The sequence below is a fragment of the Homo sapiens genome, chromosome 8, assembly GCF_000001405.40.
Source record: "Homo sapiens chromosome 8, GRCh38.p14 Primary Assembly".
Lineage (NCBI taxonomy): Eukaryota > Metazoa > Chordata > Mammalia > Primates > Hominidae > Homo > Homo sapiens.
Window position 1 is genome coordinate 22,517,820 of NC_000008.11, and position 26,012 is coordinate 22,543,831.

General features: G+C 38.5%; 1 protein-coding gene and 1 long non-coding RNA gene across 7 annotated transcripts in view; one reads left to right on the forward strand and one right to left on the reverse strand.

Annotated features, from left to right (window-relative positions):
- Positions 1–23,306, forward strand: part of PPP3CC (protein phosphatase 3 catalytic subunit gamma) — a 100,048-nt gene extending 76,742 nt beyond the window's left edge. The window contains exons 7-15 of one of the 6 annotated variants that reach the window (NM_001243974.2): positions 4,672–4,749; positions 4,836–4,930; positions 9,573–9,698; positions 10,687–10,758; positions 13,483–13,509; positions 14,406–14,487; positions 15,102–15,199; positions 21,650–21,679; positions 22,796–23,306. In NM_001243974.2, the coding sequence (NP_001230903.1) occupies positions 4,672–4,749; positions 4,836–4,930; positions 9,573–9,698; positions 10,687–10,758; positions 13,483–13,509; positions 14,406–14,487; positions 15,102–15,199; positions 21,650–21,679; positions 22,796–22,983 (796 nt within the window). In that variant the 3' untranslated portion in view covers positions 22,984–23,306. Of the gene's footprint in view, positions 1–4,671; positions 4,750–4,835; positions 4,931–5,823; positions 5,938–9,572; positions 9,699–10,686; positions 10,759–13,482; positions 13,510–14,405; positions 14,488–15,101; positions 15,200–21,649; positions 21,680–21,912; positions 22,118–22,795 lie in introns of those variants that run through there. The other 5 variants (XM_047421941.1, NM_005605.5, XM_047421942.1 and 2 more) reach the window with 5 other exon arrangements.
- Positions 1–26,012, reverse strand: part of LOC124901905 (uncharacterized) — a 72,590-nt gene that overhangs the window by 36,284 nt on the left and 10,294 nt on the right. The gene's annotated exons all lie outside the window — the stretch shown is intronic.

Consider the following 26,012-nt stretch of genomic DNA (forward strand, 5'->3'; position numbering starts at 1 on the left):
TTTTTTCTGTTGTTTTTCTATTCTCTATTTGATTCATTTCTGCCCTAAACTTTCCTTTCTTCTGCTTACTTTGGGCTTATTTGATTCTCCTTTTTCTAGTTTCTTGAAGTGTAAAATAAGGTTGTTTAATTCAGATCTTTTTTGTTTTTTAAATCGGCATTTATTACTATAAACTTTCCTGTAGGTACTGCTTTTGCTGCATCCCATACATTTTGATATGTATATTTTTGTTTTCATTTATCTTGAGGTTTTTTTTTTTTTAGATAGGATGTTTTGCTCTGTCACCCAGGCTCAATGCAGTGGCACAATGATACCTCACTGCAACCTTGAACTCCTGGGCTCAAGCAGTCCTCCTGCCTCAGCCTCCTGAGTAGCTGGGACTACAGGATGTACCGCCATGCCCAGCTAATTGTTTTTAAAATTTTTAGAGGAGATGAGGTCTTGCTGTGTTGCTTAGGCTGGTCTCGAACTCCTGACCTATCTAGAGATAATTTTAAAATTCCTTTTTGATTTCCTCTTTGACACAATAGTTGTTCAAAAGTGTGGTGTGTAGTTTCTATGTATTTGTGAATTTTCCTGTTTTCTTAAGTTATTGATTTCTAGTTTCATTCCATTATGGTGGGAAAAGATACTTAGGACGATTTACATCTTCTTAAGTTTGTTGATACTTCTTTGTGATTATATAGCCTAAAGAATATTCTGTGTACACTTGGGAAGAATTCTATTCTTCTGTTATTTGGCAAAAAGTTTTGTATATGCGTATTAGGTCCATTGGGTTCATAGTGTTGTTCAGTTCTGTTGTTTGCTTATTGATTTCTGACTGGATGATTTATCCATTACAGAGAATGATGTATTGAAGTTACTTGCTATTATTATTATTATTTTGAGATGGAGTCTCGCTCTGTCGCCCAGGCTGGAGTATAGTGGCGCGACCTCGGCTCACTGCAACCTCCGCTTCCTGGGTTCAAGCAATTCTCCTGCCTCAGCCTCCCAAGTAGCTGGGATTACAGGCATGCACCATCACGCCCAGCTAATTTTTGTATTTTTAGTAGAGACGGAGTTTCACCATGTTGGCCAGGCTGGTTTCGAACTCCTGACCTCAGGTGATCCACCCACCTCAGCCTCCCAAAGTGCTGGGATTACAGGTGTGAGCCACTGTGCCCGTCCTACTTGCTATTATTTTATTACTGTCAATGTTTGCCTTCAGATCTGTTGTTGCTTTATATATTTAGGTGCTTTGATGTTGGGCACATATATATTTATAATTGTTACATCTTTCTGTTGTATTGACCCTTTTATCATTATATAATGACTTTTGTTCCCTCTTGTGATGATTTCTGACTTAAAGTTTATTTTGTCTGATAAAAGTTTAGCCACTCATGTTCTCTTCCGGTTACTTACTTGCATGGAATACCTTTCTCTACCCTTTTACTTTCAGCTTATGTGTGTCTTTAAATCTAAAGTGAGTCTTTTGTAGACAGCATGTAGTTGGGTCTTGTTTTCATCCATTCACTCATACTATATCTTTTGATTTGAGAGTTAAAGTAATGATTGATAGGTAAGGACTTACTATTACCATTTTGTTGGTTGCTTTCTGTTTTGTGGTTCTACTATTCCTCTCTTTTTCTCTTTGTGATTTGATTTTTATTTTTGTAGTGGGGTATTTTGGTTCTTTTTATCTTTTGTGTATCTACTGTGCTTTTTTGTTCATCGGGTTTGCATCAAACATTTTATAGTTATAGCACTCTGTCTTACGCTGAGAAGAAATTACTTTCAATGACGTATAGAAACTCTACACTTTAGTCCCCATTCACACACCTAATGTAATTAATTTCAGGTTTTACTTTATTTTTGAGACAGGGTCTTGCTCTGTCACCTAGGCTGGAGTGCAGTGGTGCGATCTTGGCTCACTGCAGCCTCTGCCTCCCGGGTTCAAGTGATTCTCCTACCTCAGCCTCCTGAGTAGCTGGGACTACAGGCACACACCACCACACCTGGCTAATTTTTTATATTTTTAGTAGAGATGGGGTTTCACCATGTTGGCCAGGCTGGTCTCTAACTCCTGGCCTCAAGTGATCTGCCTTCCTCAGCTTCCCAGAGTGCTGGGATTACAGGCACGAGCCACTGTGGCCAGCTGCATCTTTTAGTTTCTACTTGAACTTCCTTTAGTTGCTCTCATAAGGCTGGTGTAGTCATGACAAACTCCAGTTTTTGTTTGTCTGGAAAAGTCTTTATCTCTCCTTCATTCTTAAAGGGCAATTTTGATGAGTAAAGTATTCCTGGTTGGCAGGTTTTTTTTTCTTTCTTTTAGTACTTTGAATATATTATCTCCCGCTTTCCTGGCCTGCAAGGTTTCAGCTGAGAAATTCACTGATAGTCTTATAGAAGCTTCCTTGTATATTATATGACAAGTAGGTTTTCTCTTGCTGCTTTCAGATTTTTTCTTTTTGAGTTTTAACAACTTAATTATAATGAGTCTTGGTGTTTAACTTATTTGGAGACCTTTGGGCTTCATGAATTGAAATGTCCCTTTTCCTCCCTAGATTTGTTAAACTGTTAGCCTTTAGTTTTTAAAAATAAGAAGCTTTCTGCCCCTTTTTCTTCTCCTTAACTCCCATATGCCTGTATTATTTTCACTTGATGTTGTCCCATAAGTCCTGTATACTTTCCACATTCTTTTTTATTCTTTTTTCTTTTTGTCCCTCTAATGCTATCATTTCAAATGACCTGTCTTTTAAGTTTCCCAGTTCTTTTCTTCTGCCTGAGTCTGCTGTTGAAGCTGTCTCTTGAGCTTTTCAGTTGAGTCATTGTATTCTTCAGCTCCAGGATTTCTATTTGCTTCTTTTTTATGGTTTCTGTTTCTTTATTAAACATCTCTCTTTATTCATTTATTTGCTTTCCTGATTTTGTTTAGTTGTAGTTCATTGAGCTTCTTTAAGATGATTATTTTGGATTCTTTGTCATGCAATTCATACATCTCTATTTATTTAGGGCCAGTTACTAGAGGTTTATTAGTTTCCTTTGGTGGTGTCATTTTTGCCTGGTTCTTTATAATTCATATAGCCTTGCAATGGAGTCTATGCATTTGAAGGAGCAGGGGCCTTCCAGTTTTTATGGACTCGTTCGCCAAGTAAATACCTTCTCCTATTGAGTCCCTGGGTTGATGGGATTGCCTGTGGTATTGTGATTAAGCAGGGCTGAAGCTAGATTATGGGGCTACATTAGGGTTCACAGTCAGTGGGCGTACCACTAGGGGCATGGACAAGTATGTCCCATGGATGGGGAGAGCTGTCTCTGGAACTCAATAGGGTGGGACCCAAGCTGGGTCCCAGGCTGGTTTGGGTTTATGTTTGGGTCCAATCAGCAGCCCTTTTACCAGAGGAATGGACAGGCATGATTTCCACAAGGCCCCTGTTAAGGCAGGACTTCCTCTTGGCCACAGTAGAGCAGGGCTGGAGCCAGGTCAGAGTGCTGCTTTGAGTCTGCAGTTGGGTCTGGTTGGTGGATCTGTTACTAGGGGCATCAACAGACATGGTTCCTTCCCAGGATGGATGAGGCTGGTGGTAGGACTGCAGACAAGTGGGACTGGAGCCGGGTTTACAAGGGACAGGCTGATTCTGGGTCTGTAGCTGAAAGGTCAGTGGGCCTGCCTTCTCCAAGCAGCCCTTCCTAGTCTTGGGCTCCACCAAGGTTTCATAACCACCTACCTCAATCCTAAGGTTCTTACAATGGCACTTATGGCCATGGATGGCTTCCAAACTATTGTTTCTGTAGGAGGACCAGGGCTGGGGACATTCTCTTTTGCTATCTTGCTTACGTCACCTACAACCTACTTTAAAAGTAAATTTGTTCTAATGAGCATAATGAGAAACAAAGATTTTAAAAATAAACTAAATAATTAATGCCTAAGTAATTCCAGGTTAATTTTGTATACTCCAGTTCTTCCTATCAGGTATTTGTCATTCAGAGAGGTAATAGTATGAAAAGAATATTTTAGGAGTATATGAGAATATTGTATCTTTTTTTAGAATATGGTTGGCTAAAATATTTACATCTGCTCCTAAAATATTCCTGCATAAGCTTGCAGTGAGCCGAGATTGCACCACTGCACTCCAGCCTGGGCGACAGAGCAAGACTCCGTCTCAAAAAAAAAAACAAACCTATATATATACATATATATGTATATATGTATTCCTGCATAATATTATCTTGGTGTTTATATTACCTGTGAAGCTGTAAGTATATTCTTTTATTTCTGTAACAATTTGACAATTGAAGAAAAGTATGTGTTGAATTTTTAGCATCTACTACACACACACGCACACACACACACACACACACACTACTGTTGTACTTTGTAATATCAAGACACTGATAAAAGTTTTGGTGTTGTATTGTTATGGATTAAGACAAAAAAATTAAAAGATGAGATGGAGGAGCTCTTTCTATTGTAGGATTATCTATTGTTTTCATGTTTGATCTGTAGTGAAGTATATTAGTGAAATAGAGAAACAGAATGATGAGTACTAAGCTATTCATAAAATTTCAGTAGTGTGTAATACTTGTAGTTTTGAAACAAAATCAGCTAATATCACCTTGACTTTTCCCCATCTTCCTATTAAAAAAAATTGTTTTAATTCTGGATTTATGTTTTCTAATTTTCTTTTCCAGTTACCCTGCAGTTTGTGAATTTTTGCAGAACAATAATTTACTATCAATTATCAGAGCCCATGAAGCCCAAGATGCTGGGTAAGTTACATTAAAATTGTACCAAATATCGCTGCAGAGTCTTTGCATTTAATATGCAGACAGATGGACTTTCATCTCTTTTTCAGGTATCGAATGTACAGGAAGAGCCAAGCCACAGGCTTTCCATCACTTATTACAATTTTCTCTGCCCCCAATTACCTAGATGTCTATAACAATAAAGGTAAAGGAATCCAGCAATATTTGAGTTTGAATTTATGAGTAAACGTGAGCTCTGGTTTAATTGTATGTACGTATGTGTGTTTGTGTCATTTTAAAACATAAATTTTAAATAAGAAAAAAAGGGGTCTTAGTTGAAACAAAGGCCAAGAAATTTAGAATTTATGCTGCTGCTTGGTCTTTATCTCCTAAGGATTACTGGCTTCTTTGTGAGTATAAATAATGATCATAATAGGTCAGATTGATACTACAGAATCAAAGTATAAGAAGAATAAATTGCTTCAGGCTCATGCCAGAATAGTTAGCATAAATTATTGGTTTTGGTGAATTTAATGTGTTTATAACAGTATCTCAAAGTCACCATTGGTATTTTAATCTTTGTGAATTATTAAACTATTTTTGTTTTTCTTGAGATATGGTCTAGGTAGAGTGACCTAGTGTACAAAGTCAAAAAAAAACCTTCATTTTTAGTTTAAACCCTGCCAGAAACGAATACTGTGACTTTGAGTGAGTCACATTATCTTTCTAATCTTCAGTTTCCCATATGAAAAAAGAAGAATGGATATATACATGCCTTTTGTTCCAGAAATTTTACTTCTAAGACTTTATCCTGTTAAAGTCTTTTTTTTAATTTAAAACTTTTATGATTAATAGTTTATAAGTTTTCTATCGAGGCAGTGGTCCTACTAAAAACTTCATATTTCTGTAACTATTTTGTTGTTTATAAAGTATGACTATAAATTAATAGGACTTTGAAAATAAACATGCCAGAACAAACATATCCAAATGAGTATTGTCCCTTCAAAGTAGTTACCTTGGGAGGCTACACACCTATTCCAACAATGCTGTCCTTGTTCAAAAACATTTTTGGAACTCCTCTTTTGGCATTGCCTTCAGAGTCTGCGACACATTCTTTTGATTATCCTCAATGATGGGAAATCTTCGTCCTTTGAGGGTGGATTTGATTTTTGGACAGCCAAAAGTCATTCGGAGTCAAGACTGATAAATAAGGTGAGTGATCAAGCTAGATGATACCATTTGGGGTCAGAAACAAGGTATGATTATAAGGTAATGAGACTGGTTTTTCTCGTGTTGCTGATACAGTGGCTCTGGAGGCACTTCCAAAAGAGGAGTTCCAAAAACGTTTTGAGTAATGGCAGCATCTCTGGATTAATTATATGGTAAGGCAACAAGTTGTGCTGAAAAGAACACAAAGCAAGGAGTCAGTCTAGTCCTGCTTCACTTTTAAGTGTGTCACATTTAACAAGATACTTCTCTGAGCCTCATCTTTAAAATATCTGTCATATGGGGTTGTTGAAGATAAGTTGGAATAAGGAAAATGGATATTAAAGTGTTGTTCAAAATATAAATTACTATAATAATACAGATTTTACTGTTATTGTACCTGATGTGATAATATCAAAGGACCACACTCATCTGATAAAAAGGTCTGGTGTGTTTGTAGCTGGTGGTTTCTTAAGTCTCATTACTTTATAGTTATACCTTGTATATGCAGTTGGGGAGATAAGTTTCAAAGATGGCCAAAATATAATTAATATTTACTCTATTTAAAAGTAAACCATGGAATGGCACATCTCATTTAAATCCGATTTGGGTCAGTCATTTTAGTGTGTCCTCCAGTGACTTGTCTATTTTAAAAAGCATGTCTTTAACTTAAGTTCTGTCCTAGTCTTATGTTTTCATTTAACTTAGCATTCTTCTCTGAGCCTTATCTGTCCTACAATGCTCTGCTTCTCCCTAAGTTCATTTGTTATTTCCTTTTTCCTGATATTTCCAGTATATTAGCAACTTAGGTTTTATTCTTATTTATTCTCTTATCAATGGTGTGGACTGTTTGTGTTGTTAAACGTCTTCAAGGACTCTTGTGGCCCTAGATCTCCTATTTGTAATGAAGGTGTTTCTTTCTCACTTTCTTTTTTAACTTCATCAAAAAGAGTATCTATTGATTGCTCAATGGATTTATCAGTGTGCCAAGCTGAAACACGCCACCTAAGTCAGCAGGCACTATACAGCTCACTCACTGCTAGCTTGTTTTTTGTCTCAATCTAACCTGGTTTTGTTCTTGATTATTTCTTTAGCAAACTTTTAACATCACAGTCCTGGCCAGGCACAGTGGCTCATGCCTGTAATCTCAGCACTTTGGGAGGCCAAGGGGAGGATCACTTGAGGCCTAGAATTCAAGACCAGCCTGGGCAGCAAAATGTGACCCCATCTTTACAAAGAAAAATTTAAAAGTTAGCCAGGCAAGGTGGAGCATGCCTATAGTCCTAGCTACTCAGGAGGCTGAGGCAGTAGGATCCTTTGAGTCCAGTAGTTCGAGGCTGCAGTGAGCTGTGATCACACCACTGCATTCCAGCCAGGCAATAGAGCAAGACCCTGTCTCTAAAAAATAAAAAAAAAAGTAAAAGCCACAGTTCATTCTACCTGAGTATTCTGTCGGCTTTGACATAATTAGTAACTTTTATCTCAAAACAGTCTTATTTTCATTGGTTGTTTCTTAGGCATTTTAGAAGGAAAAAGGCAGAAAATGTGGCATTTGAAACAGTCCCTGGGGGTACTCAGTTACTCCCCATACAAGTGCCTTCTTTTCTGAAAAAGGGAACTCTATTATTCTTTTTCTTCTTCCTTTTCTTCTACTGTTGCTCTTCTTTCTCTTTCTCTCTTTTCTTTTCTCTCTCTTTCTCTCTCTCTTTCTTTTCTTTCTTTTTCTTTCTGCTTCCTTTTCTTCTTTCTTTCTTTCTTTCTTTCTTTCTTTCTTTCTTTCTTTCTTTCTCTCCCTCTCTCTCTCTCTCTTTCTTTCTCTCTCTCTCTCTTTCTCTCGGTCTCTGTCACTTAGGTTGGAGCACAGTGGCAGGAACTTGATTCACTGCAGCCTCGACTTCCTGGGCTCAAGTGATCCTCCCACCTCAGCCTCCCAACTAGCTGGGACCACAGGTGCATGCCGCTACACCTGGCTAATTTTAAAATATTTTTTATAGAGATAGGGTCTCGTTATGTTGCCCAGACTGGTCTCAAACTCCTGAGCTTAAGCAGTCCTCCTGCCTCGGCCTCCCAAAGTGCTGGTATTACAAGTGTGTGCCACCACACCTGGCCTCTTTCATATTATTTTTTTTTTTTCAGAGACAGAGTCTCACTGTGTTGCCCAGGCTGGAGTGCAGTGGTGCGGTCTTGGCTCACTACAACCTCTGCCTCCCGGGTTCAAGCAATTCTCCCGCCTCAGCCTCCCGAGTAGCTGGGACTACAGGTGCACGTCGCCACGCCTGGCTAATTTTTTTTATTTTAGTAGAGACGGGGTTTTACCATGTTGCCCAGGCTGGTCTCAATCTCCTGAGCTCAGGCAATCTGCCCACCTCGGCCTCCCAAAGTGCTAGGAGTGCTCTTTCATATTCTTTAGACTTCTTGGTATCTACAGGTATTTCCTAGTTCCACTAGTTACACGAAAGACCTTTAATCATGATTTTTAAAGATTCTTATTCTTGTTTTCTTCTGTCCACTGGGAACACACCCAAAAGCAGTTTTATAAGCTCTTGTTTCCAGTCATTCACTGTTGAGACTCACCTCCCACTTCTTTTTCCTGGGTAGAAATTGAGGGAGTTGTTGAATAATGATATATGACATATTTACCTAAACTAAATAAAATACATACACGTGAAAATAATGGAACATGTACATCATAGCCAGTGTTAGGCTTTTTAAGTGCTAGAAACTATATTTTAATTTATTTTCTTAATAATATATGGTGTACATTTTAGACATTCAATAACTTAAATTTTAAGAACACTAGATTATCCTGTAGCAAAGAAACAGGAATGAGGACGTGACCTATATCTGTCATTTCTGGAGAACTGTTACACCCTGTTTTATTTTATGACCACAGAATAATTAAGAGAATAGTGCAAACAACATTGCTGGTGATAAAGGCTAAGGAATTGGATTTTAAGACTTTCAAAATATAAAGAAAATCAGTTTGGCATCAAAGTATGTGTGCGACTATCTGAATGGTTAATATTAAACATAGCATGCTGGCAATACACTGCTGTGTATTGGAGAAATCGGCAATTTTAAAATCCGCTATATTGAATACAGAGATGACTTAATCTAATTTTGAACATTTAATTGTAAATTGCTCCAAGTTTGCCATTTGTATCTTCCAGTATGAGTTGATAACTGCAATATATAAACTCCCAGAGAGTGTATACAATCTTTGACTCTGGCTAATGACTAGCAAAACAGGCTGTGTCCATTTAATGAGTAATTTTTGCCTTCAAAGGAGAGTTGTAATTATAACCATTTGGCCTATAAAAGGAAATTATGGGGAAATTTTCCTCACGTGGATCTTGAGGTTTATATAGATAGTTACTGTGCAGTGACTCCAAAGTTTCAGTTTCTTTTGTACTTTTATTATATGAGCTCTTCAGGTAACTTTGTTCCTTGGAATAATTCTTAAGAGAATGAACTGAATAAAAGGCTTTAAAATTTTCCATCTGCCCTTTACCTAGTCAAGTCCTGACTTTACAAATGGAAAGTTCTCGAATTCTGTGTAGCAGGTACACAGCTGTACAAAGCATACCACTTGCCATGCCATGTTCCTCTGTGCCAGATTTTCTTGCTTTTTTCCTTTTTAGCTGCTGTGTTGAAATATGAAAACAATGTCATGAATATCAGGCAGTTTAACTGTTCTCCACACCCCTACTGGCTTCCAAACTTTATGGATGTTTTCACATGGTCTTTGCCTTTTGTTGGGGAAAAAGGTAAGAGAACTAAAGCACATGTCTCATCAGTTGTTTGGTGACTGAGCATACCTTATATTTGCATGAGCCCCTCCATGATTCAGAAATGTTTTCTAATTTTGTTTGTTCTCTACATAGATTTTTTTTTTTTTTTTCTGAGATGGAGTCTCGCTCTGTCACCCAGGCTGGAGTGCAGTGGCACGATCTCAGCTAACTACAACCTCCGCCTCCCAGGTTCAAGCAATTCTCCTGCCTCAGCCTTCTGAGGAGCTGGGATTATAGGCACGTGCCACTGCACCCGGCTAATTTTTGCATTTTAGTAGAGACAGGGTTTCACCATATTGGCCAGGCTGGTCTCAAACTCCTGACCTTAAGTGATCCGCCCTCCTCAGCCTCCCAAAGTGCTGGGATTACAGGTGTGAGCCACCGTGCCCAGCCTCTACATAGATTTGTAAATGGCATGTAATTGGTTCTTAAATTTTAATATATTATGGTTTTTTTATTGTAAATATCAATTTAAAGTAGCTGACCTACTATGATCAAGATGTTAAAATAACATAGTTACTTGTCATTCCCTCAGATTTCTTCAGTACTGAAGAGATTTAAACAGAATTTATTGTCCTTACAATTTTATTTGTACAGCTACTCAAATTAGCTAAGCCTGTTGGACGTAGGCCTGTTGGCTTAACTTTGTAAAGTGGGAAAAAAATTTTCTCACGTGTGTATCAGTGTGGGAAGAAGCTCTGAACAGCAATCCGGTAAAATCAAGTAATTAGGCAATAGATCTTCAAAGACTCCAGACTTTTACTGGAGCAAGTAATCTACCCAAATTCTTTTTAAACCTGAAAGTTTACATTTATGCTACTTTTTATAGCTATTCTTACTAACATAATGATAAATAATTTTTGCTTATGCTTACTTAACATGTGTGTTTATTTAGATATCCACATTATTTTAGAGAAAGTACCTCATTAATCGCGTAAATTTTGGATTATTTTGTCTTACTTAGTCACAGAGATGCTGGTAAATGTGCTCAACATATGCTCTGATGACGAACTGATTTCTGATGATGAAGCAGAAGGTAAACTTTTCCTCCTTTGAACTAAAACTAGAAAGAGGTTTGGTTTTGGTTTTAGTTGTTTTAGTTTATTTTGAATGATTTTCTTTGTCTTATTAAAAATAAAGTTAGTTCATTGTAGAAAAATAAAATTTGAAAAATACGAGAAACCATAAATAAGGAAAAAAAGTCACCCATAATCCCATCATCTTATAGATATCCACAGTTAACATCTTAATGTATACTGTGTTAATTGTCTTTTATCTTTGCACATAGCTTTCCTCTGTAGTACACTATTTTTGTGGAGTTTCTTTGTAGACTAGTTTCTAATGGATCTGTAGTTGTCCATGTTGATCAGTGTTGTAACTAATCCCGGTGGTGTTGGTTATTGGAGTTTTTCCCAAGTTTTTGCCGACAAAACCCATATAGTTTTGAACATTTGTTTAGATAAAAATGTGCACATTCTCTTAACCAATATTTATTACATGCTTGATATATACCAAGTACTGTATTGTTTAGGTCCTTGCTCTCAATAAGCTTATTTGCTAGTGTAGGGAGGAAAAACAGTAAATAAATATGTCAGATGAAAGGAAGTAAAGCAATATTAGAAAATCAGGAATAACACTTCTTGATTATTTCCATAGGATGAATTTGTAGAAATTGAATATCTGTGTCAATTAGTACTTAAAATTACAATTCTGATACAGATAGAAATTTCTGATACAGCCTCTAGAAAGGCTGTACCACTTTACATTTTGCAGGATGCATAGTCACAGTGCTGTCTCCAATACTGTTTATGATACTTGTTATAGTCTGGTGTTACTAAGTTTTTAATTAAATTTTTAGTTTATATTTTTATGAGACTAATGGACAATTTTTTCTTGTGTTTGTTGGCAATGTTTATCTCTCTTTTGTGACTTGTCAATTCATATCTTCTATCCTTTTTTTGAGACAGAGTGTTGTTCTGTCACCCAGGCTGGAGTGCAGTGGCGCGATCTCTGCTCACTGCAACCTTCACCTCCCGAGTTCAAGCGATTCTCCTGCCTTAGCCTCACGAGTAGCTGGGATTATAGGCGCGTGCCACCATGACCAGCTAATTTTTGTATTTTTAGTATAGATGGGGTTTCGCCATGTTGCCCAGGCTAGTCTGGAACTCCTGAGCTCAAAGTGGTCTGCCTGCCTCGGTCTCCCAAAGAGCTGGGATTAACAAGCATGAGCCACCATGCCCAGCCCCATTTTGATTTTTTTCTTATTGGTGTGTGAGGGATCTTTTTATACAGTAACATTTTATTATATATGTAGCCAAGTACTTTTTTTCCTAGTGTGCTGTGGGAGGTTTGATTATAAAGGTAGGTCCTGACTTGTCTGACAATGCAAGAGATTCTGGAAAAGTGGTGGTCATCCAAGCACAAACCGGCCTCATCCTATCCAGGCTCTGTGCTAAGGTGGTTCCCTTAACTGTGAGGATAAACCATCTCCATCGTGGAGAAAACACAACTCCCTTTGGGAATCTAGAGGAAATTACCATACACTCTCATGCTTCAGGTTCTGCACTCATGCTTCAGGTTCCGCACTGAAGATCAACAGCATATGCAAGATAGCTTGCGAGTGTTTTTATTTATGGTATAGGAGATGACTACAAGGAACCAGTTCTTCTTGAGGAAATAGTGCAGCCAAGTGAAAAACAAAAGAAAAACCGAATATCCCCCTGGGCAACATGGTGAAACCCCATCTCTACTAAAAATGCAGAAATCAACCAGATGTGATGGCGAGTGCTTCTGGTCCCAGCTACTTGGGGGCCTGAGGTGGGAGGATTACTTGAACCTGGGAGGCAGAGGTTGCAATGAGCGGAGATCTTGCCACTACACTCTAGCCTGGCCAACAGAGGGAGACCCTGTCTCAAACAAACAAACAGAAACACATATATTTCCTATTCTTTCCCACCACAAACATAAAAATAAATAAATAAATAAATAAATAAATAAAAAGGAAGAATGGGCCGGGCATAGTGGCTCACGCCTGTAATCTCAGCACTTTGGGAGGCTGAGGCAGGTGGATCATGAGGTCAGGAGATCGACACCATGCTGGCCAACATGGTGAAACCCCATCTCTACTAAAAATACAAAAATTAGCTGGGGTGTGGTGGCACACACCTGTAGTCCCAGCTACTCGGGAGGCTGAGGCAGGAGAATTGCTTGAACCTGAGAGGCGGAGGTTGCAGTGAGCCAAGATCGCACTACTGCACTCCAGCCTGGCGACAGAGCGAGACTCATCTCAAAAAAAAAAAAAAAAAAAAAAAAAAAGGAAGAACAATTATATCCCCTGAAAGAGAAGCTATAGAATCCATTAAACAAAAAAACATACTATTCCTGTGAAGAGATTTGTAAACTGTTCTGTCCTCCGTTTTTGTTCCTTGTTTTTGGCATCATTTATTCTGCAAATAATATCTTTGTTTAATGTTATTTTCATGATCTGTGGGGTTAGAAAATATTGGATGCTCATAGATGTGAATTAATGTAAAACCATAAACTTTTAAGAAATGGAAGAAACTACTGACAAAATAAATTTGCAATTTAATGTTGTATCATGATTCCAAGGATATCTCTTATGAGCTGGTAAAGATAATAGCCTGTTTCTCTCATTGCATTTCACTTTGATTTTTTTTTCTCTTTTCCATGTAAACATAAATTTCTCTTCTCATATTTCTGTCTTCATCTCCTTGTTTCTTGGTGTTTCTTCTCCCTGAAGATCACTACATTCCAAGCTATCAGAAAGGTATCCGACTAAACTGTGCTAAGAGCTTAATGCTTACTCTCTGTCCCACCATAGTCTATTGGTTAGACTTAAAATTGGTAGTTGAATAATTTCAGAAAGGCTCTCCATCCGCCCCTTCAGTTTTAATGTATATGTTTTCTCTGGACCTGTTGCGTGATCTGGCAGGGTGCTGAGGGTTGGATGTGAGGAAGGAGAGGCCATGTTTCTTTTTCTGACTTTTGACTGTAGTCACCTGGTGCATGCTGGACCTTGGCTTCTCATGTGTGGGCTATTTTCAGAATCTTAGATAAGAAAAAGCCATAAAGTCTTAAGTTAACTTTTTCTGTTGTTGCTTTTTAAAATAGTGCACAGTTGTAAGTAGTATCGTGAGGCAATAACTCACTAATATAAGTGAAGCTTATAGAATGAAAGCAGCCCTCACTAAGTTCAGGAGAGCTAGCTGGGTGTTGTGTTTACATACAGAAGACAGCTGCTGGAATGATCACTTGCCATTTGGCAGGCCGAACCCTGCACCCTAAGGTGGCCCACAGCATTATCAAAAGACATCTTTGCTGTAGCAGCTTTCTTTGTGAGGTTTGTTTATGTATGTGTGTGTTTTATTCTTTGCTGTGCTCTACGTTTCACAACCACAAATAAGTTCCTACCTCTCATAGATCCACCCAGTCTGTCTTTTTTGTGGCCTCTCATTTTTTACTTCATCTTTTTATCTTCTGAGTCATTTTTTCTCTTGCTCCTTAGAACTTCCTGAGATTTTTGTTTGTTTAAACAAACTTAAGCCTTCATTTCTGTTTTTTAAAAACAATTGTTTCTTTAACTTAAGACACTTCATCCTGAATTTTTTAAAGGCAGCCTATTAACACATCCCTTTAACTTACTTATTCTTTGTATTCTCTAAGGAAGCACTACAGTTCGTAAGGAGATCATCAGGAATAAGATCAGAGCCATTGGGAAGATGGCACGGGTCTTTTCAATTCTTCGGTAAGGATGTCTGTCATTACAGTGCGGATTAAAGGCATTTTGAGAGTAAATTAGACGTCGAATTCAGAACAGTTTTTTTATAATTGGAATGTAGTATTGAAACTGCAGGTCTTTAGGTTGAGTGCAAATTCAATGAACATGTTTAAGCGACTAAAAATGTTCCAGCAAACATTGATTTGTTAGTAGCTTAGATGTAGTGAATGTAGTGGTTTAGTGTGGACTTTCCAACCCGATTGCCTGTGTTCAAATTCTGGCTCTACCTCTTCTTACCTGTGTGATCTTGGGTTTCATCTCTGTGCCTTAGTTTCCTTGCCTGTAAAGTAATAATAGGCCCTAGCGCACAGGTTGTTAGGTGTATTAAATGGGATACAATATGGGAAATGTTAGAACAGTGCCTGGCTGTTAAACACTTCTAATTGAAAAACAAGAACTGGCTGATTGTTTAAAATGAAAATATTTGTGGAAAACATCCCTTTCTTTGAGTCAGGGAAGGCGTAGGAGGTAGGAGAACCTATCTTCCATCTCTGCTGTCTTTCTTCACTTCCTTCAATATCTTTAAGTTGCTGAATGGAGAGTTCTCGGGCATTAACCCAGGGTTTGGTCTCCCTTTGCAGGCAAGAAAGTGAGAGTGTGCTGACTCTCAAGGGCCTGACTCCCACAGGCACACTCCCTCTGGGCGTCCTCTCAGGAGGCAAGCAGACTATCGAGACAGGTGAGTATGAGAGTGCTCCTCCATGGAAGGTGTGCTCCCGTTACCTAACAGTCAGCACACACTTACAAATGGGGGCTTTCCTCAGAAAATGCCACGAGAGCAGTTGGTTATACCATAAGCGGGGAAATGAATCTTCACCCCTACTTCCCTCCATACAGAAAACCTAAATCAGAATGGCTTATTATAACTTCAGTGTAAAAAGCAAAACAGTAAAACAAGAAGAAAGTATGGAGAGTAGACACTGGGGTAGACAGAGTCCTTAAGTAGGACACAAAAAGTACTAACCTTAAAAAGCCAGTTGAATTTCATTAAAATAAAGAACTTCTCTTCTTAAAAATACATGATTAAGAGAGGAAAAAGGCAAGACACAAAATGGAAGAAAATTTTTTGCAATACACGTCTCACCAAGCCCTTGTATCCAGAATATATAAAGAACTATAAATCAATAGGAAAAAACAAATTTCAAAAATGGTCAAAAGATTTAAACAGGCACTTCACAAATGAGGATATCAAAGTGGCCAATAGGCCTGGCACAGTGGCTCACGCCTGTAATCCCAGCACTTTGGGAGGCCGAGGCGGGCGGATCACCTGAGGTCAGGAGTTCGAGACCAGCCTGGCCAACATGGTGAAACTCCGTCTCTACTAAAAATAGAAAAATTAGCCAGGTGTGGTGGTGGGCACCTGTGATCCCAGCTACTCGGTTGCCTGAGACAGGAGAATTGCTTGAATCCGGGAGGCGGAGGTTGCAGTGAACCGAGATCGCGCCACTGCACTCCAGCCTGGGCGACAGAGTGAGACTCCATCTCAAAAAAAACCAAAGTGACCAATAAACATATGAAAAGATCTTAATATTATTATAGTTTTTCATCTAGGAAATAGATATTAAAACCACACTGAGGGCCGGGAGCGGTGGCTCACGCCTGTAATCCCAGCACTTTGGGAGGCTGAGGCAGGCAGATCTCTTGAGGCCACGAGTTCAAGAACAGCCTGGCCAATACAGCAAAACCCCACCTCTACTAAAAATACAAAAATTAGCTGAGCATGGTGGCATACTCCTGTAATCCTAGCTACTCAGGAGGCTGAAGCACTAGAATCACTGGAACCCGGGAGGTGGAGGTTGCAGCGAGCCAAGATCACACCATTGCACTCCAGCCCGGATCACAGACCAAGACTGTTTCAAAAAAAAAAAAAAAAACAAACACCACAGTGAGGTACCATTACATACCCACTAGAATGGCTAAAAATTAAAAGTTTGGGCCAGGGCATGGTGACTTACACCTGTTATCCCAGCACTTTGGGAGGCTGAGGTGGGAGGATCACTTGAGGCCAGGAGTTTGAGGCTGTAGTAAGTTATGATTGTGCCACTGCACTCCAGTCTGGGCAACAGGGCGAGACCCTGTCTCCAAAAAAAAAAAAAAGAGTCTGACAATACCAAGTATTGGTGTGTTTGTGGAGAACTAGTACTAGGTATGTTGCTAAAGGGCTTGTAAATTGATTCAAGCGCTTTAGAAAACTACTGGGCAGTAAAGCTAAACATATGTCTACCCTGTAACCCAGCAGTTCCACACCTGGTGTATATCCAAGAGAAACTGGATGTGTTCACCAAAGGTTATGCATGGGAATGTTCACTGTAGCTTTATTCATAATAGCTCAAAGCTGGAAACAACCCAGATGTCCATCAGTAGCAGACTACATAAATAAATTGTATTCCGAAATATAAATAAATAAACTGTATTCTATTTATACAATGGAATAATACTCAGCAATAAAAAATAACACATTATGGACACATGCTACAACATGGTTGAATCTCATAGACATTACAGAAAACTGCAAAAGCCAGACATAAAAGAGCACAGACTGTCTGATTTATATAATATTTAAGAACCATTGGACTAATCAGTGATAATAAAGTCAGAATGTCACTTCCTCTGGTGGGAGAATATTGTCCCAGAAGGGCACAGGGAACATCTAGAGTGTTAGGAATGTTCTGTATCATTATCATGGTGGTAGTTAGACATGCGTATACTTATGTAAGAATGTGTTGAGCTGTACACTTCAGATTTGTGCACCTGCTGTGCCTCGTGTATATTTTGTACCTTAAAGAAAACAGTTTGAGGGGGTTGCAGTTTCTCAATCAGAGAGGGAGTTTGCCTCTTTCCCTGCAGCCATATTCTATTCCAGTGCCAAAATCACCTCTTCAATCAGAGTACCAATTCTGAAATTTACCCAGGAGCTGACTTCTTAGGAAAGGGCTTTCTGGAATCCCGGAATGAAAAGGTTGATGTTCGTGAGAATAAACATGCAAGGGGAAGAGACAGGAGATCATATTACTGGGTGACTAACACTAGGTATGAAAATTGGTATTGAAGCATTAATATCTTAAACTAAAGTTTAACTGCTTTTTTTGCTCCCCTTGTTTTGTTGAATTGTTTCTATTTAGTTTTTTTCCCACCTCATCGTTCATCTGGCCTTTTTTCTTTTTCTTTTTTTTTCCCAAGAGACAGAGTTGCCCAGGCTAGAATGTAATGGCTAGGTACTGTCATAGCTCATGGCAGCGCCCGGTTGCTGGGCTCCAGCAATCCCCCTGCCTCAGCTACTCGAGTGGCTGGGACTACAGGCATGTGCCACTGTGCCTGGCCATCCTGCCATTTATAGGAGTCCTTTTTCTTTTGTAGAAATTTCATTGCTATTGACTAACAGGGACAAACCCATTTTTTTTCTTTTCTTGGAGACAGAGTCTTGGTCTGTTGCCCACGCTGGAGTGCAGTGGCACGATCTTGCCTCACTGCAATCTCCGCCTCCCAGGTTCAAGCAATTCTCCTGCCTCAGCCTCCCAAGTAGTTGGAACTACAGGCGTACACCGCCATGCCCGGATAATTTTTTATATTTTAGTAGAGATGGGGTTTCACCATGTTGCCCAGGCTGGTCTGGAACTCCTGAGGTCAGGCAATATGCCCGCCTCAGCCTCCCAAAGTGCTAGGATTACAGGCGTGAGCCACCGTGCCCAGCCCTTTTTTCTTTTTATAAGATTGAATTCCTCCTTCTCTTTCAAATAGAATACTGAGATATTAGAGTTCAGCTATTTAGAAGGAAGTCTGAACATTTTCTCTTTGGAAGTATAGTTTATTTTCCTAGTTCCTTTAGTTTCACAGAAAGTATCAGTAAACTATTTCCGATTGAATATTTTTCTCAAATAAATGTGCAGTTTTTTGTGAGCAGAATATGTTCCCACCATTGCTTTGCTTGGTAATTAGTCATCTGAGATATTCCGAGAGCAACTCTGACAACAAAGATAGAGTAATAGGCAGTAACATGAGTTAAGAGAAAAAAAGGAATGTCCTATAGCATCCTTAGGTAAACATTATGAAAATTTGCTGATCCACAAAATTGTTTTAATTGAAACCAACTTTGTCTAAACCTTGAGAAAGCAAATCTGCAAATCAGGGCTGAGCAACAGAATTATATAGCTATGTTATTTGGAAATTTGTTTCTAATTCTTGGTCACCTTTTGGGCTCAGCCCCAAAGTATGAGTTGAATATGAGTGTTTTAATCAAGATAGGACCATTGATTGATACTTCCAAAGTTGATAGAAATCTTCAGTAATGTGTGAGAACAAAGGTAAAGTTGGAGCCAACTTTTTAGAGTTTCTTATTCTTATTGATTCACAGGAAGTGAGTTTATTTTGTTATTTTCACATTGGAGTCTCAGTTCCACCAGCTCATTGGCTAACTGGAGCATTAACTAAAAAAGACCTTTTATTGTTCATATAACTTAACTTGGAGAGCTTTCAACCAACAGTATCCCATATGGCCATGTAACATACATTCATGTATGTCTCACCTTGATCTAAGAGGGATTGGCGTGAGTTACAGTATACATGAAACATAGTGGAGTAAAATAAATATGCTTGGAAATTGAAGCACAAAGGTAAATAAAAATAAAGCCAATAGCCACAAATTTGACTCTAAGCATCCCAGTAGCCAAAATAGTGGGGAAAGCCAAGGACAGGACAAGATTCACAAAGACCATCAGATTAAAACAGATCAGTTATAAATTGGACTACATCAAAATTAAAAACTCTGTACTGCAAATGGTACTATCAAGAAAATGAAAAGACATCCCACAGAATGGTTGAAAATGTTTTCAAATCATATATCTCCTAAGAGATTGGTATCTAGAAAATATACTCTTACAACTGAATAAGAAGACAACCCAGTTAAAAATGGGTAAAGAATTGAATTGACATTTTTCCCATGAAGACATACAAATGGCACATGAAATGATGTTTGACATCATTAGACATTCAGAAAATGCTAATCAAAACCACAATGGGATACCACTTCACAGTCAGTAGGATGGCTGTGAAAAGACAGCAGTTAATAAGAAGTGTTGATGAGAATGTGGAGAAATTGGGACCTTCTTAACACTGCTGGTGGAAATGTAAAATGGTACAGCTGCTTTGGAAAACATTCTGACAGGTCTTCAAATGATTAAACATAGAATTGACTTATTACTCAGCAATTCCAGTCATAGCTACATACCCCACAAAGAAATGAAAATATGTCCTCGCAAAAACTTGTACACAAATGTTCATAAATGGCATTCAACATAATAGCCAAAAAGCAGAAAAAAGCAATTGTCCATAAACTGGATAAACAAAATGTGGTAAACGCAATGGAATACTATTCAGCCATAAAAAGGAATTAAATGCAGGTATACATGTCAACATGACTGAACCTTGAAAACATTATGCTAAGTGAAAGAAGTCAGTCACTACAGACCACATATTATATGATGCCACTCATTTGAAATGTCCAGAACAGACCAATCTAGAGAGAAAGTAGATTCGTGTTCAACCAGGATTAAGGGGAAGAGGTGAGGGAAGGAAATGGGAAGTGAGTGCTAATAAGTGGGGGATTTCTCATTGGGGCAATGAAAATATTCTAAGCACAGATTGTGGTGATGGTTGCACAGCTCTACTATATTAAAACCATTGACTTGTATACTTTAAACAAGTGAGTTTTGTGGTATATGAATTCTATTTCAGTTAAGATGTTAAAAAGGAAAACAAAAGTTCGGGTCATTTGATATGACTGTTTCTTATAATGGCCCTTACTGCAGGCTGCTATCTTTATACCCAATGTGAATAGCAATTCTGGGAGGGCCCCAAACAAGGTAATATCATACACATTTTACCGTGTAGCTTTTAAGCTCTAATTAGACCAACACTCAGTGTAGAGTTTCAGCAATGCTTTGTTCTCCCACTTCCTAACAGTTACATCAGTGATGTGCTGTGAGAAGGCACTGTAGCTTTCTTGTCAAGGGTATTTGTTCTACTTAAGGAGATTAGAGAGGGTGTGACAGTGATTTAATACATGCCTGCCTATGGTTGACAAATGAAAGCACTTCATAAGTAGATTTCAGTTATCCATTTTTCACATTCCATTAGGTAGTTAATGTAGTTCTTTCAGTTTCTCTTCTCATATTGATATATAAAGCCTTGGGAATAGCAGCAAACTGTTACTGCTCATTATTCTTCACTGCCTTCTTTTGGCAAATTGGTACTGGAGTAACTGACAGGGTTCTCCTAATAGGATCTTTCTTGTGGCACCCTGTACCTTTTCATATATTAGCGTTTTTACTGTCTGAGAAAGGAGATGCAAGGAAGTTTACCTGTTGGTACTAATTTTTAAGTTGCTTCCTTTTCCATTGCTAAGAAAGAAGAGGGCTTTCTTAGTTACTGGCCAACTCTCTTGAACACTGTATGGAAGCCATATGGATTGGAAACATTAGCCTCTGCTATATTTTTATAGCAGATGGGTACACACATTTGCATTAGGAATTCAATAGTTCTATGCTTTTGTTAGCTTTGTACTCCACTCCTGGACAAGAAATAACCCTTCACATGGAACCTATTTTTCTCTCCTTCCAAATGCCAGTCTGCTGTTCAAAGGCCACTCTTTTTTTTTTAAATGAAGTAATTAATAGGGCAGTTGGACTCCAAATAAGTCACTTGAGAGCAGTAAGATGTAGTTGTAAATAAGCTTTTTGAATAGGACCCAGCAGTAGCTCATTTAATATCACCTGAGATATTTTACAAACTAAGGATTGTTGTGATGTCAAACTATTTGATTCTACATGTTGTTTCGATACGTGGATATCAAGATATAAAGTAGCAGTTGGCTACCTAAAATGAAAAGAGCAATGTTCCATGGCACCTGAAATGTTAAAAATATTAGAAACTCTCCCCCACCCCATATTCCTCCCACCCCAATTGAGTCTCTCGCAATAATCTTCTCGCTTCTCTAACTAGTTGACTTTCATTATGGATGGGGATAGGCTAAAAAACGGGCCCCTGGGATGGCTGTGCTGCCATCAGTGCTGTTGGTTTACTCACTCTTTTTCTGTCTTCGTTTTTGCATGCTACTGCTCCTGCCCTCTTACAGCCACAGTAGAAGCGGTAGAGGCCCGGGAAGGTATGGCCATATTACTCTGATAGATGTGATCCATGTGTCTGTGTACTGGTTTTTCGAAGCTTTATCAACATTTCAAATATTTTATTATTGCATCACCAGAACTATAACAGTGAGAAAAGGTATAGTTGTTTCTAGGCATGTTAACGAAGCAGGTGTTTCCTTTGTGTCCTATCTTTGCATTAATTTTAAATAACCTTCACCACAGCTACAGTTTTTTTTCTGGGCTCTATCAGCTTTAATGCAACGGCAGAAGCTTAAGCAACTGGTCATGAGAGGTCAAGTGGTTTACTTCTGTATCCCTTCCATGTACAAGAGACATCCATTTGATTCTCAAGAGAGCCAAATAGGTCAGCCTCTTCAGCGATTCTAAAAGATTTCAAGAGCAGAGGCAGAAGTAGACTGGAATTTAGTTCAATTCATTTCTGAGGTTGCCCTAAGGTAGGCAAGTTAAATTAACTTTGTTTCTATGAAAACCATTGGAACTGATAAACTTGTATTATACTTGTAATTGTTTTATTAGGTAAGATGGTTCAAAACGCGAATGCCTTAACTTGGTGTTATAAAAGTTGAATCGGAAGGAAAATATGTAGAAGCTATTTTTAAGTTTTTAACTTATGTACAGCTCCTGGTTGTGCAAGATAGAAAGCTGTCCTAAACGAAAAGATTAGCTCTTTTGTTACTTTTTTTTGTGGTCTATGTGGCCTTTGTGCGAAAAGCAACTACCCTGGGTTTAACTTGTTCAATTATTCTAGTGTTGCCTTTGTTCTAGCATTGAGTATGTTTCTGGTGCATAAGACACTCTTTCTTAAAGGTACTGGGGCCCAGTAAGTACTTGTTAGCTTTTTGTTAGGTATATGTCTACCATGATTATGCATATAGAGCTTTTATGAAAATTACTTTCACAATTTCAGCTGCCCTTTGGGCTTTAAGGAAGCAGTAGCTGCAGCCAAGACTGATTCAGTCAGACATTGCCCATGACTTTCACTAGACGTGTGCTCCATAGCCACCTTTCTGTGTGTTTCTCTAGGAGGTTGCTGTGTGCTAAGAAACTTTTTTTAAGCCTGTTGCTTTGCTGCCTAATTGAGCTCTCTCCACCTGCTTCCTGTTTTTCTGTAGCCATCAGAGGGTTCTCGCTTCAGCACAAGATCCGGAGTTTTGAAGAAGCGCGAGGTCTGGACCGAATTAATGAGCGAATGCCACCCCGAAAGGATAGCATACACGCTGGTGGGCCAATGAAATCTGTAACCTCAGCACACTCACATGCTGCGCACAGGAGCGACCAAGGGAAGAAAGCCCATTCATGACTTAGAGTCCTGCCGTGGCTCAGGTGGATCTAAAACTCAAGAACAAATTCTATTTATTTATTATTGGAAAATGAAAAGCAACTCAAAACAACTTCAACGTGGAGGTGCATTTATAATTCAGTCTGCATTTATTCTGTAAAAAGGTGGCTGTTTTATAAATTCTTTTAATTTATGTTCAATATATATAAAAAGTGCATCTGTTTTGTTTTTCCCTTTTTTCTCCATAATTTTAAGAAATGAATCTGATTGTTGTCAACACATTTGTGAAGTCTTGTGCTATAAAGGGGAACTTCCCCTAATAAAAGGGCCTTGGAAACCTCAAACCTGGGTTTCTGACTTGAACTAGTCAGTCTTCATTATTGTTTTTTGGAAGGTAATGTCTTTCATGTAAGACTAATAACGTTTCAAATGCAAGAAGATTTTTTTCCTTTTCATTTTTTTCCTTTTCTGCTGGGTGCCATTGAAGAAAGTCCTCTTAGATTTCAGTGGCTAAAAGTGCTTCCCTTTTGATGGGAAACTGGATCATAGTAGAACTTCAAAGTGAATAACCCAAATCCAGTGATTTTAAGGGCGAAGGGAAATGTTTTCTATAATAACCTACTTTCTCTGGACTCTCAGTTCGTTTAAATATGTTCTAGTAAACAAAATAAAAAATAATAAGGGATGTTCTTAGATTTACTTAAAATCTGTTCATCTGACCATGGGCATGATTGGTTTAAATTTCCTTAGGACTTTGGAGGAGAAAGATTTTCAGAAAGCTTTCACAATTGCCAGATTATTTTACTTTCATTTTTGAACCCCAGGTGACTTCTGTAAAGGAAGTCACTTTCTAAATATTTGATAAATGCCCTCAGCAGCACCTTCTACAACAAGATGTATATATGCCCTTCTAGGCTGTTGGCATCAGCTCTCGCATGTGCCTTCCCATCATCCTTCTGTTGTTCCCTGTCAGTATTACTGAAACCAGCTGGGGTAGTAGAAACTGACAAGAGTTCAATGGTCCCCTTGTGAATTGAAGGTCTTGCTAAAGAACATTGGATAAGTGAGGATTTCCTGTCTTCTATATCAGTTACTCTTTAGGTTGAATGGTATTTCAGCCTTCATTAGCATATTTTGGAATGCGAAAAGCAAGTGTTCAGATGTAGTGTGTGAATTATCTTCCCTTAGTTTGATTTTCAAGTCACAACCAACTAGTGAAGGAAATTTTGGGGCTACTTAGGCTCCCATTTTAACTAGCCTCATCGCAGGAGCCGTGTCATAATAGTCATTGGTCAGCTCTGCAGTGAATGTACATGCCTGGGAACATTACATCAGAGCATGGAACGTGCACATTTATGGCATTCCTTAGTGTCATTTGTGATGCGGCAGTCTAGCACTAAAGCAAGTATTTCAGACAGTAATACTTCATATTGGGAGTTTCCAGGAAACCAGAAAAACAAAGAACAACATAATTTTGGTGGTGTTTTTTTTTTTCCCCAAAAAACCATACTTCTCATTAGAAGAATGAAGACTTAGCCCATCTATCTCTGTTTTCCTATACCTTTTTTTCTAACAGTTTCTGATTTGTTTATGGCAGAAATCAAGGCACTCTTAGGGAATGGAATCTGCCTGCATAGATTGCTCCATTAATAAAAAGATAGGAAGGAGATAAAGGATCTCTGAATGGGTTGTGAGTAAAACCTGTGAAAGAAGGGGGGAAAAGTCTCTAGTAACTGTCTTTTCCTGATTGTTGTTGAACTCAAATCGGGTATTAAGCACCTAGATATCCTTATGCTCCTTTCTTTTCCAATCCCAGGATTAGAAAAGATCCTGTCTTTGGAAATTTCACTGATGAAAGTCATTCCATGTGACAGACTGCAGAGCTGCTAGTACCTTATCCCTTTTCTCCTTTTCATTAAGGCTGTTACATATATACAATCCACAGGTAGAAACCACTCTTAGGGGCCTCCATAAGCAGGCAGTAGTAGAAATAGTTACTGTAAATCCTTATAAGCAAAAAATAATATTTTATTACGGATGATTATTTAGGAATGGCTTCACTATTGTCTCAAAAAGCAGAATGATAAAGCAAGTTTCCTTGACAGAACCATCACAAAATTATATACAGTATTTCACTGGTTCCCTCTGAGCTGTGGAGGAATCAGCCAGAGTAGAGAGGTAGGTGGTCCTGGTTCAAGAAAACCTGAGTAAGTTTTAGAGCAGCACTAACTCTTAGAGGAGGTTAAGTTTGAAAATTCGGTTGAATTCTAAAGATAAAGTTATCCCTTCCGTTCTGTAGCTGTTTTAATGTAAACAACAACTTCCAAGATGGCTGGACCCTGCCCTGGGTTTGCTCGAAGACTACTTTTCCTGTCTAGGGCCATGATTAAACAGACATTTTAATTGCTGTCAAAGTTCTGCAGTTTTGGTGTTTTCAAAGTCTCTTCTGTTTTATTGAATGTTTCCCCCTGTGTGTGCTAAAGATACTGGAAACAGTTACATTGTGTTTTCCTTCACAGGACCTTCCTTGTGGAAGGCCCACAGGGACCTTCTTTTTCTGCAACTTCTCCCATTTAGGAAAACAAAAACAAAACAATTCCTCAGGCATGTCAGGACTCCTTTGTAAACTTTTCTGAAATGCCATTTTGAAAATGATGCTTCACATGGACCAGGTTTCTCACTTTTAGTGACATACATATCACAGGACATTTAAATCGATCAGATGATTATTTCTTTTACAAATTTGAAAACTCATCTAATGTAAGTTCAAAACATATATCCTTTTTTTATTTCCGTGTTCTGAATGTTTAGAGCAAAAGCAAAACAATAAGCCAAGGGGGTGTGTGTGTGTGTGTGTGTGTGTGTGTGTGTGTGTGTGTTTCTTTAATAGAATGATAAAACAAAAATAGCCTCCGTTTTCCTTAAACTCTCAAGGTGACACTTTGGTTACAAGTAGAGGCATTGCTGATTTGCTGGTCTTTTGTGACTGGATATTGATTGGCAAGGTAAGAATTGCTTATCACACTCTGATGAGCTTGATACTGCTCCTT